At 53.9% G+C, this 12908-nt stretch overlaps 1 protein-coding gene across 1 annotated transcript in view; it reads left to right on the forward strand.

The window, feature by feature from the left end:
• CRAMP1 (cramped chromatin regulator 1) overlaps positions 1-12908 on the forward strand; it is a 65549-nt gene that overhangs the window by 48613 nt on the left and 4028 nt on the right. The window contains exons 12-20 of the mRNA NM_020825.4: positions 1518-1699; positions 1789-1863; positions 4085-4166; positions 5101-5205; positions 5450-5628; positions 6363-6428; positions 6990-7221; positions 8029-8193; positions 9692-9837. Coding sequence (NP_065876.3) covers positions 1518-1699; positions 1789-1863; positions 4085-4166; positions 5101-5205; positions 5450-5628; positions 6363-6428; positions 6990-7221; positions 8029-8193; positions 9692-9837 — 1232 coding nt within the window. The remainder of the gene's footprint in view (positions 1-1517; positions 1700-1788; positions 1864-4084; positions 4167-5100; positions 5206-5449; positions 5629-6362; positions 6429-6989; positions 7222-8028; positions 8194-9691; positions 9838-12908) is intronic.

The raw sequence follows: 12908 nt of genomic DNA on the forward strand, positions 1-12908 counted from the left end.
CACTCCAGCTCGGGCAACGGAGCGAGACTCCATCTCAAAAACAAAAAAAAACAATGAGTTTTCAACGTAAAATAAGGCCCGGAACAGTGGCTCATGCCTATAATCCCAGCACCTTGGGAAACCAAGGCAAGAGGATCACTTGAGGCCAGCCTGGGCAACATAGCAAGACCCCATCTCTACAAAATATAAAAATAAAAAAAGTAGTTGAATGTTGGGGCTCATACCTGTGGTCCCAGCTACTCGGGAGGCTGAGGTGGGAGGATCACTTGAACCCAGGAGTTCAAGGCCGCACTGAGCCGTGATTGTGCCACTGCACTCCAGCCTGGGTGACAGAGGGGGCCGGGTGAGAGGTCCTGGCCTCCTGGGTGACGGAGGGGGCCGGGTGAGGGGTCCTGGCCTCCTGGGTGACGGAGGGGGCCGGGTGAGGGGTCCTGGCCTCCTGGGTGACGGAGGGGGCCGGGTGAGGGGTCCTGGCCTCCTGGGTGACGGAGGGGGCCGGGTGAGGGGTCCTGGCCTCCTGGGTGACGGAGGGGGCCGGGTGAGGGGTCCTGGCCTCCTGGGTGACGGAGGGGGTCGGGTGAGGGGTCCTGTGAGAGGGGGCCAGTCCCTACTATGAAAGAATTTTTTTTTTTTTTTTTTTTGAGATGGAGTCTCGCTCTGTCGCCCAGGCTGGAGTGCAGTGGCGTGATCTCAGCTCACTGCAACCCCCACCTCCTGGGTTCAAGCGAGTCTCCTGCCTCAGCCACCCGAGTAGTTGGGATTACAGGCATGTGCCACCATGCTCGGGTAATTTTTGTTTTCAGTAGAGACAGGGTTTCGCTATGTTGGCCAGGCTGGCCTACCATGAATTCACAGGGTGATTTACAGCAGCACTGACAGTGATGAAAACATTTAGCAGGGTCCCACAATACTAACTCTCAAATATTTCCTGTTCTTTTACCTCTGGGTCTGTTTTCTAAAAACTAGAGATTTACACCAGGGAGCAGCAAGCTATAGGCCTGCAGCCCAGATCCAGCTCACTGCCTGCTGTTTATAAATAAAGTTTTATTGGCACACAGCCACACTCATTTGCTCACCTGTTGTCTGTAGTTGCTATTGTGCACGGCTGAGTTGCCCCAGAGACGGTGTGGTCTACAGAGTGGACATTGGTTTTCTGGCCCTTCACCAGGAAAGTTGACTGACTTCTGGTCTCCCCTGGAGACACTGAAGGCTCTTCTAGCCCTGGAACATCTTTGGTGTCTTATCTGCCCTTACCCCTGAGCACTGAGCGAAGTGGTGAAGTGCTTTTGTCCTATCCAGGAGACCAGTGGTCTGCTCAAAATGGGAACAAGAATTTCAGTGAGAAGGATAGAAAATCAGTCTTTATGTGGGACTGAGATAGAGGTGTCTCCTTTCAAGGCAGCCGAACGGGTTGCCAAGAGAATGTCTTTCTGACTTTCTTCCCAACGGAATTCCGTGACCCTGGACCTGTTGCTAGGTGAATGCTGTCACACTGATTCTCTCCTCTCCTCTCCCAGGTTTGAGAAACCCTCCAAGACCCCTCTTGGTGCCTGGTCCCTCCAGCACAGGAAGCAATGACTCAGATGGAGGCCTTTTTGCTGTCCCGACAACCTTGCCACCCAACAGCCGACACGGGAAGCTCTTCTCTCCCAGTAAAGAAGCAGAGCTGACTTTCCGCCAGCATCTGAACTCCATCAGTGTGAGTGTGTGGGGCCGGGCCGCCCGCGTGCGAGCGTCCCCGTGGTCTGGAGAGTGCACCTTCAGGTGCCGGACGCTGCTCCCTTACAGATGCAGTCGGATTTCTTCCTGCCAAAGCCCCGGAAGCTGCGGAACCGGCACCTGCGGAAGCCACTGGTGGTCCAGGTCAGGGTCTTCTCAAGTCTGAACGTGTGGCCTCGTGGCTGGGCCAACCAGGACACAGGGCTTCTTCCCTCTCTCACATTTTCATGGTGTAAAATGTGGGAAATTCCTGCCCCTTCCTTCCCTCTTGTGAGTAGGGTAAAAATACAAGTAATAACAGTGAACTTAATGGTACCCAGAAGTAAAGGTAATCTTTCAATAACATGGAAATCCACTTGCAAAAAAGACAATTATAGGGATTCAAGTCCAAAGAATGTCCCAGATTGGGATGTATTTATGGAATCTCAACACCTATTTATAAACATTTAGTCTGTGGGAGCAGTTGCCAGGGCATGTGGGTCAGCCAGAGCCCAGGCCTCTCATGAGCTCCCCAGGAGTCCCCGAGGATGCCGTATGCAAGCCTGGGGGACAGCCAGGGACTCAGAGGCACCTCAGAAGAAGAGCTTGGCATTCTGACGCATAAAAATACAGAAAGTGAGGTGGGAAGTCTGAGGTAATTATGGCCTCAGAAATGTATGGATGTGTGTTATTTTGGATTCATGCACAGGTTTCCTTTTGTTAGACTCTTAGAAATCTCTTTCTCCCTTGAGATTAGTATATTTACAAATGAGACATTGCATGAACGGTCTTAGGAAGAAAGTGCCTGCTAAATCTTAGGTGTTCTTTGTTCAAACTAAGATCAGGGTTGAAAACTATGGCCCAGGGACCACTTCCAGCCTGACTGTTGTTTTGTTTAATTTAAAACAACTTTATAGATAGAGAATTCACATATCATAATGTTTGCCCATTTGAACTTTATGACTCAGTGGTCACAAGGTGTACGACGACCATCACCATGGTCTAATCCCAGAACGTTACCACCCAGAAAGGAAACCCTGCTCCTATGAACTCACGTTGCCTTCTCCCGCCAGCCCTTGGCAACCACGGATCCGCTTTCTGTCTCTATGGATTTGTCTGTTCTGGGCATTTCCTATAAATGGGATCATACAATTTGTGTTCTTTTCCACATAATATTTTTGTAAATAAAGTTTACTGGCACACAGCCGTGATTATTCATTTCTGTACTATCTACTGTTTTCCACACGGGCAGGTATATGGCCCCAAAACCTAAAATATTTCCTGCCTGGCCCTTTACAGAAAAAGTGTGTCAATCTCTGCTACAAAAAGTGTAGCCTTTGGAGTGAAAGCTCCCGCTACTAGGCTGCAGCCTACTGCTGTCCCTAGTAGTGCCTCCTCTCTAGTCTCTCCGACGCCAGTGTCCTGGGGCATTTCAAAGGGTCAGAACTGCAGCGGCACCCCCAGAGGCGGAAGCGCCTCAGACACTTGTAGGTCGAGAGACACTTTTTTGTTCATGTTTTATCTGGATTACTAGCAGTTTCAGTGATGAACACGGTTTCTCAGATGGTAGTCCTTGTCACTCAAACCTGCCGTAGCACATTCAGCCTAATTGTTCACACACAAAAGCCCTGGAAAGGAGCACTTCATGCCCTTTGGTGCCTGTGTGTTACAAGCAGTGACTTTATTTTACTCACCCCATGTGTGAGGAAGCCCAGAATGGGAGGTGTCACTCCTAAAAGTCCATGTCCAGTGGTTATAAACAGGTTTGTATAACTAGTTGCATTCCAGTCAAATCCAGAAGAAAGTTCTGGATTAAAAGTGGATCAGGCCAGGCACGGTGGCTCGCACCTGTAATCCCAGCACTTTGGGAGGCCGAGGCAGGTGGATCACCTGAGGTCAGGAGTTCAAGACCAGCCTGGCCAACGTGGAGAAACCCCGTCTCTACTAAAAATACAAAAACTAGCTGGGCGTGATGGCGAGTGCCTATAATCCCAGCTACTCGGGAGGCTGAGGCAGGAGAATCACTTGAACCCAGGAGGCAGAGGTTTCAGTGAGCCGAAATTGCACCACTGCACTCTAGCCTGGCTGACAGAGCAAGACACCGTCTCAAAAAAAAAAAAAAAAAGTGGATGACTCTGACATTCCTCCAGTTTCCCTGGGGAGGGTTTGATTACCTGGGTTTGTTTGAGAGAGGACCTAACTGGAGCTTGGGGTACATGGGTCCTAACTGTCTGAGCAGTCCCAGGTACCCTGTGTCATCGGCTCTGGAAAAAGCCCCACCTGGCTATGCTGGGCACCCTCTTACTTGGGACATTCCTTTGTAACTGGGAGTGATTTTTTGGTATGGGAGTTTCATCACCTTGATTGTTGACCATTTTCCCCACAGAGAACACTGCTCCCTAGACCATCGGAAAACCAGTCCCACAACGTTTGTTCCTTCTCCATCCTGTCTAACTCTTCCGTAACTGGTAAGGACCCTGAGCTTTTCTGGGGTAGCTTGTCCCTCCTCCTCACAGGAGGGCCTTGGCTTTGGAGACAATGGGTGCTTATTTCCATGGCCTATCTTCAGGCATTCCTTTGTCCATTCTACCGACAAATACCTAATGTGCCCTATGTGCTGGGCTGCAGGCTGCGGTGGCGGGCGAGGCAGCTAGTCCAGCGAGGCAGCTAGTCCAAAGGGTGCCCTTCGTCTGTGGCCTCAGATGGCCCTGTGTGAGGCGCTTGGCTTGGTTAGAGTTGTGTCTCTTGTCTGCTCTCTCTGTGTAATGTCTTGTCAGCCGTTTTATGGGATGGATGTGTTCTTGGGGTGTATGGATTATGCTTCCATCAGTCTGTACATTTAGTGGGGGCCTTGGCTCCTTGCGGTAGATATTACACAGGGAGAAGCCTCTAGTGAAACACATACTCTGTGACTTCCCTTTTCTACCAGTGTTGACTTCCACGTCTCTCACTGACTTATTGCAAGACCCTTAACAGCTGTCAATTGCTTTTTCTCTTGCCTACTTGTCAATTTTCAACTGTGGGAAGCCTGGCAAGATAAAACCAAATTGCAGTGGCAGCATCTTAGTCCAGAATCTGATGCTCTGACTGCCCTGGGGCCTGTACCTCAGCTTGGGGGCTTGTCACCCTTCAAGAGCCATTTCCGCAGGATGACAGTGGTGACCGCAGCCTTCCAGTAGCTCCTGGGAGGCACAGTGGTGGGTGCCAGAGCTTGTGTCACGTTGGGGGCCTGTGTGACCTCTGACTCCTCATGTTAGCATTTGGAATGTTCAGTGGCTTCCAGCTTGGCTCGGCTCCCACACTCCCAACAGTGGCTGTAAAGGAAGCCCCCTGCGGCCACATCCTGCTGTGAGGGCATGGCGGGCGGGCTCGACATGTCTGCTTTTGCCCTCGCCCTCGCAGGGAGAGGTTCGTTCCGGCCCATCCAGTCTTCTCTGACCAAAGCAGCTCTGTCTCGGCCGATCGTGCCCAAGGTCCTTCCACCCCAGGCCACGAGTCACCTGGCCAGTAAGTCTGTACCTGCATGGCCACAGCCACTGAGTGAGCCTCTGAGGGATGTTTTTGTGACCAGGTTTTTTGAATGTTTTCTTCTCCAAATCATAATGTCTCATTACCCTTCACCAAGAACATCTAAGCCCTTGGCTCTTGCATTGACATGAGGTGCGAGGGAGAAGCTGTTCCCCGAGCCCTCTTGGGACATCTTATGGGTTGTCAGTAGAGCAGAGATGTGCAGCGTCCTTTTTGTTGCCAGGTGCTATCGACTTAGCAGCTACAAGTGCCGGCATCCTTTCCGGGAACCCCCTCCCTGCCTTGGACACCGAGGGCTTGTCTGGCATCTCTCCACTGTCTTCAGACGAGGTGACGGGTGCCATCTCGGGGCAGGACTCTACTGGAACTCACCAGGATGGAGACACCCTCCCCACCGTGGGGGTGAGTATGTTTAGAAGGGCTTTTCAGCATTACCACCAACTTCTGGTGTGGACGCCAAAGCCATGGGGCTGAGATCACGCTGGACTCCAGCTCTGCCTTTGGAGGAGAGTCTCTGGACCAGGGGTGCCATGGCATAAGCAAACTCTGTGTAGTACAGAGCAGGAGAGGCCTCCGGAGCCACTGACGAAAGGTGGGGACAGGCTTGCCATGTGGCACTGGAGAACTCAGAGCTAAGACGGTGTGGAAACATAGCTCCATCTGAGAGTGACCATAACCAAGGTGGCAGCCCACAGCGCTGTGCTCGGACACCACTGAGCATCTCTTTCATCTGGGAAGAGAGCAGCCTGTATGGCCTTGGCCATTGCTCCTTTCCAAGGCTCTGAGCACCTGGTTTCTCTGGCCTCCCACGGCCACTTCAGAGCTGCCCCAAGGAGGGTGGGGTGGGCTGATGCTGTTAAGACTCCAGGGAGCCCAGCCCTGCCTGCCACAAGGTTGACTTCCTGATAGGACTTTACTTCACTCTTGGAAGCAACAAAAAATTGGAAGTACACGGTCCACACCTGAAAGTAGCCTTTCAGTGTTCTCGACCTTAGACCCCTGTCCATTTACTGTCCCTCTGCTGTTAGGAGGCCAGGGGGATGGAACGCCTCTTTTTCTGGAACTCTGTCGCGGGTGAGGGTATGGGTGGCATCTGGTGCACCCTGCGGCTGCTCATGGGCGTGCTCTTCCTGCAGGGCTCCGACCCATTTGTCAGCATCCCTTCGAGGCCTGAGCAGGAGCCAGTGGCAGACAGTTTCCAGGTAGAGTGTGCTCTTGGGCTGCTGAGCAAAGCAGCTGCCCCAGGACTCCCTCCAGTGCCCTGAGCTGCCACCTGCAGTCTTGGAGTGGCCCGGCTTCTCTCCTAGACTGTGCAGTGGCTTTGCTGTTCTTCCACCTGCTGTGCCGACTGCCCAGGGTGGATAAATGAATATGGCTGTCCGCCACCTCAGACTTCCCTCCTCCCCTCTCCAAGGTGGGCTGTTTCAGACCCAGCTCTGGAAGAACTTAGCGCTCTGGAAGAACTCAGCTTTCTGGGAGGAGGAGGCTGTCAGCTAGTAACTCCCCCAGCCCCCACTCTCTTTCTGGCAGCAGTCAAAGCAGGTCCAGGCCACTGCAGCCTGACTTTCTGACTCTGCCATAGTGAGTGTTTTTGGGAGAAATAAATTCCCCGAGTGTGTTCCTGAGTTGGAAGGATGAGGTGACTGCAGCGCTCATCACCCTATTGATTTGCCTGCAAGCTAGGAGAGTAAGCTGGTGTTTCTTCCCTTGTCATGGGTTCTGATAGACCTGGTTGTGTCTGAAAAATACCTGTCTCCCAGCAGGGCTCATCTGTTCTCTCCTTATCTGAGCTGCCCAAGGCCCCTCTCCAGAATGGCCTCTCCATACCGCTGTCCTCGTCAGAGAGCTCCAGCACCCGGCTGTCTCCACCAGACGTCTCTGCTCTGCTCGACATCTCCCTGCCCGGCCCACCTGAGGATGCGCTGTCACAGGGCGAGCCTGCCACACACATTAGCGACTCCATCATTGAGATCGCCATCAGCTCCGGTCAGTACGGTAAGGGCAGGGCGGCCTCACAGCCCTTCCTGTCATCAGGTGTTGATCTCCTGCCCCAATGTTTGCCACACTTCCTGGGGATATTCCAGTTTTGTGATTTTTACGAATTGAAAACCTGTCACCTACAAGGTGCTGCCTGTCTCCAGCAGGGACCTTGCAGGTGGATAAGGTACCTGTGGGACCTGAGGCAGCTGATGGCCTGGTAGGCTTGCTCCTGACCTTCAGGCGAGACAGTGGAATGGCCCCCAGGTGCTCTTCAGCCTGGGGATCACAGAGTGTTTTCCTAGTTGATCTTGAACCTGAGCAGGCGGCCTGGGGTCTTGCACAGCTTGTGAAGCAGTTGGGCTGGGCCCTGTGGGCTTTGGTCTCACCTGCTGTCTGGGACAAAGCTCCTGGGGGCAGTGGTTTGTTGTTCACTGGCGCGACCCAGGCTGTGGGCTGAGAGAGATATGAGTTCACAGTGTGCTAGCATGTAGCCTTGGGCAGCTCACCACCTTGCTGAGCCTCCCTTTCCTAAGCGGTAAATTGAGAATAAGGTACAGCTCCTAGGGCTGCTGTGGGTGCCGTGAGATGACTCATGTGCAACCCGTGGTGGCTACTGCCGTCGCCTTCACTCCGCTGCGCCCTGCCTCCCTGCAGAGCTGTTCTGCGGTGCTGCGCTCCTTACCTGCCGAGCCATGCCATCCATCTGGTTCAGCAGGGTAGAGCCCTGCGGCCCTGCTGCCTTCTCCGTGGTGGGCTGGAGAAGTGAGTTGCTGTTCACCACCCCGCAACAAGGCGTTTCTGATCTGGGATCTTGGTTGGCAGGTGAAGGAGTCCCTCTTTCTCCAGCAAAACTGAATGGCAGTGACAGTTCCAAGAGCCTTCCCTCCCCGTCCAGCAGCCCCCAGCCACACTGGATCGCCTCTCCCACCCACGACCCCCAGTGGTACCCCAGTGACTCCACCGACTCCTCGCTCAGCAGCCTGTTTGGTGAGTGTATGGGGAGGGCTCCCATCTCCTTTTCCAGGGCAGCAGGGGCTGGGGTCTGCGGGACACTGGATTCTCATTCTACTCAAACTCCCACTAGGACTGTTGGCTTGTTCGCTTCTCAAGTGTTTGTATTTTTCTGAGTTAATATTTTTGGGTGTAATTTACATGTAGGAAAATGTACACATTTTTAGTGTACAGTTCACCAAGCTTTGGCAAGCATGTATAGCCTGGTAACCCACAAGCCAATGGAGACCTAGAACATTCCCGTGACCCCAGATGCTGGGTTCTGTGTGCCTTCCCAGTCTGTTCAGCTAGCCCGGCCCCTCCCGACTGGGTTCTCTTGAGGGGAGAAAAGGAAACTGGTGTCTTGGCACTCTCTTGGCTCTTCTCTTTCTGTGGTCAGTAAGGTATTCAGAAGTGGATGGTCCAGCTGCCACCTGGCACATTCTTGAATATAGATCGGAGAGTTCAGAGGACGTGTCCATCCTCCTCCCCCACTGCCCGTTTGCCCACTGGGTAGCAAGTGTGGCAGGAAGGGGGTGTATCAGGGAAAGGCACACCCTGCTGCTGTTGCCTGCCCAGAGAGAGCTCCCATTTGGATGTCTGGGGTCTTCCCGCCCACAGTTGTACGGGGCCAGGGCTTGTGGCTGGGCACATCAGGCATGGCGGGTACCATGCCTGACAGCTCTGAACCAGTTGGGCGACCTGGGTCTGGGAGGTGCTGAGGGACCCAGCACCCTGCAGGCGTTTCCTTTTGTCTCATGTAGCAGTGCAGATGTTTGGAAAGTCACACGTAAATCTTGAAAAACTGGAAACAGGCCAGGCGTGGTGGCTCATGTCTGTAATCCCAGCACTTTGGGAGGCCAAGGTAGGAGGACTGCTTGAGGCCAGGAGTTTGAGACCAGCCTTGGCAGCATAGAGAGACCTTGTCTCTACAGAAAATTTTAAAACTAGCCAGGTGTGGGGGGTGCATGCCTGTAGTCCCAGCAACTCGGGAGGCTGAGGTGGGAGGATTGCTTGAGCCTAGGAATTCGAGGCTGCAGTGAGCCATGATCACCACTGCACTGCAGCCTGGGCAAGAGCGAGACCCTGCCTTTAAAAAAAATTAAAAGCAAAGTTGGAAACAACCTGCATGAGACTAGTCACAGAGAAGAAAGTATGGGGGTGGGGATGGCAGTGAGGGTGGGAGAGCATGATGGGGGTGGGGGATGGCAGCGAGGGTGGGAGACCGTGATGGGGGTGGGGGATGGCAGTGAGGGTGGGAGACCGTGGGACTCGTGGAAAACAAGGTGCATGTCTGTATGCACGAAGGCCTGTTAAACGAGAAGAGCTCGTCACGGCGTGTTGAGTCCCTCGGAAGCTCTTCGCACAAGTCTGGATTGGGGCCGGGGCCGGGGCTAGGGCTTGGGCTGGCTGCCCCCAGCCTCAGGACCCTTCCGCTGGACTGGTCCAGACCAAGCAGGGTTCAGGGTGTTTTCCTCTGGCCTTTTCTCCGCAGCAAGCTTCATCTCCCCAGAGAAGAGCCGGAAGATGTTGCCGACTCCCATTGGGACCAACAGTGGCACTTCCTTGCTTGGCCCCAGCTTGTTGGATGGAAACTCGCGGGACTCATTTGTGTCCAGGTCCCTGGCTGACGTTGCAGAGGTGAGTGCATTGACCTCACAGCTGCACCTGACCACCAACCCTCGTGCCAGAGGTTGCCAGCACTCTCCTGCACACCTGTGGGTTAGTAAGAGCTGTTTGCCAAGAGTAGAAGAACAGGAGACAGCACGTCCACACTCAGGTCCCTGACTACTGAGAATGGAGAGATCTGGGGACGCTGGGCCGGCTCTCGTCCCCACATGCAGAATGACAGACTTAGTCATAGCTGAGCTCTGCAGGCCTCTGAACTGGAAACCCTGGTCTGGGGCGCAGAGCAGGGTCTCTGAAGGCAGCCAGAGCCGAGTGGGGATGTTACCTCTCCTTCCCTGGCTGTGAGGTGCTGAGGTGCGGGGAGTGTTGTGGAGGGAGGAGTAAGGGGTGGTGGCAGCAGTTGTGTTGTCAGTGCTCCCATCCTAACAGCAGGACCTTTGAGTGGCATCTCCCTGTCATGTTGAGCTGCGGTGCAGGGGAACTGGGATGGGCTCTGCTGTCCTCATGCTTCTCCCACGCCCAGGGTAGTGATAGGAGGAGTCACTGGGGCAGGTTCTTGAGGGGAAGGCGAAACGTGGTTTGTGACTCTCCACTTTTGACGAGATGCAGCGTCCCTCTTTGTTGGCCAGGCCATCTGGTTGTAGCCCTCAAGGCGTCCACCACATGGTTTGTGTGGCATTCGTGGGCAGGTCAGGCTTGCAGGGTGAAGACAGGCCCGTTTCACTGTGACGTAAAGTGCAGAGTGGCAGGTGTGTGGGCAGTCGGGTGAGGGCTCTATGGACAGGGAGGGAACTCCAGGTCCAGGAGATCATCCGCATGGGCTTAGCCCATGTGAAAGTCCTGGAGCAGCATTCCCCGAATCTAGTCCCCACAATGTTGAGACATTGGCAGGTGTTCCTTGAGGATTTTGTGGGTAGATACTTGAGGGACACCCTGGATCCAAAAAAGCTCAAAACAGCTGTTTCTCACGGACACCTCCGCTACCCAGTATCCGAATGTGAATCGTGACTCTTGAGATGATGAACTCATGGGCAGGCTTTGGAGAATTCCAAGCCAAGCCATGATATGACTGGAAATTTTAGCCAAATATACACATAGACACAATTAATAGCGTAGACCTCCATCTCACAGTGTGTGGCGTTTCTCAAACCTGTTTGGCCCCAGAATCATTATTCAGGGCACACCTTGGACTCTGATGTTTCCCGAGAAGCCAGTCTCTGTCTCTTCCCCTGTTTGTGCGCATGTTCCTAAGTGCTGGGCTCTGTGGAGATGGGCGCTGCGTACGTGCCCTGAGGCAGCATGCTCACGCCATGCTGTTGAAAGGACGGGCCACAGCCCAGTGACAGGAGCCCCTTGGAGTCAGAAATCCAGAGTGTTAGCCTCACCCCAATCAGAATTTGCACCTTTAATAAAATCCTGGGCAACAGATGGCACTTGGGAGTGAGTAGCAGAGAAAGGGTGCAGTTAGTATTTGTGAAACGCTGCCCGTCGCGAGTAATGCAAACGTGTTCACCTTCAGAAAGAGCAGATCAGCGTTTAGCATGAGATTTTCCCGAGAGCCCTCCACTCAGAACGTGAGTATGTTTCTCAGCAGGTCCTCGTCATCTGGAAGGATGGGCTGAGGCATTTGTGGATGAAAGGGTCTGGTGGTAGGGCTAGCATGAAGGGGGCGGGGGTGGAGCTGGGTGGCCCTGGGATGAAACGGGTGGGAGCTGCTGATGGACATACAGGGGAAGGAGAATTACTCTTTGCTCTGCTTTTGAAAACAAATTTTAATTTGTCTGACATTTCCCATAATCAAAGCATAAAATTTCATTTACGCCATAGCTCTATTCAGAATTTTCCAGACTTCTTGCATTCACAGTGTCATGCAGTTCATTAAGGGATATTTCTGCAGGGTCTGCTGTGTGCAAACAATGGCCCCTGTCCTCATGAGGCTTCTACTCTAGAGCAGGACGCAGACAATAAGCGCTGAAAACGGCACATTCTACGTATTTGCTCATGGGACAAGATCCCGGTGCCGAGGCCCTCCCGTCCTCCGTCTCCTCAGCTCTGTGCTGCCTCACTCACTCTGTCATGGCCACCACCTTGGTCGTGCTTTTCAGTCAAAGCCTCTTCCTGTCTCAGGGAACATGCCTGTTGCTTCTTTAAAAAGGAACGTACTCCCCATGTGTCCTCATGTCTCTGACGGGAACGTGCTCCCCACATGTCCTCAGGACTGATGGGAACGTGCCCTCACCACATGTCCTTGGGATTCTGACGGGATCGTGCCCTCCACCTGTCCTCATTTCTCTGACGGGAACGTGCCCCCAGCTCTCCTCATGTCTCTGATGGGAACGTGCCCCCAGCTGTCCTCATGTCTATGACGGGAACGTGTCCCCCACCTGTCCTCATGTCTATGATGGGAACGTGTCCCCCACCTGTCCTCATGTCTGTGATGGGAACGTGCCCCCCACCTGTCCTCATGTCTCTTGACGGGAACGTGTCCCCCACCTGTCCTCATGTCTATGACAGGAACGTGTCCCCCACCTGTCCTCATGTCTGTGACGGGAACGTGTCCCCCACCTGTCCTCATGTCTATGATGGGAATGTGTCCCCCACCTGTCCTCATGTCTATGATGGAAACGTGTCCCCCACGTATCCTCGGGTTTTACCCCACCTCCCGCTCAGGTCCCAGTCCTTGGAGCACCCTCTCTGGCCTCCTTTTCCCGGCACTCTCTGTCCCCTCACTCTGCATCTGTTTCTGCAGGCTGCCCCCAGTGCCTGTGTCTGCTGCATACAGTCTGTCTACCTGTTGGGTGTCTTCCCCCATAGGTCTCATGGCGGGCGGGGGGACCAGCACCCTCACCCCAGCCATCAGATGTGCCAGGCACATCATAGGCTCTCTGCGAGCACTTATCTAAAGAGTGTGCGGGCAGACGACAGGTGATTGTGATTCTGCACAGAGCCCTGGGCTGCCATCCCTAGCTTAGCTTCCTGCAGCGGGAGTCGATAGGAGCTTCTCGTCCTGTTTCAGGACCCGCCCTCCACTGAAGGGCCAGCAGGTCGCGGTGACTTGTTCTTCCTGTCTCCTCTTCCTGCAG

Source organism: Homo sapiens, chromosome 16 (genome assembly GCF_000001405.40).
Source record: "Homo sapiens chromosome 16, GRCh38.p14 Primary Assembly".
In the NCBI taxonomy this organism is placed as follows: domain Eukaryota; kingdom Metazoa; phylum Chordata; class Mammalia; order Primates; family Hominidae; genus Homo; species Homo sapiens.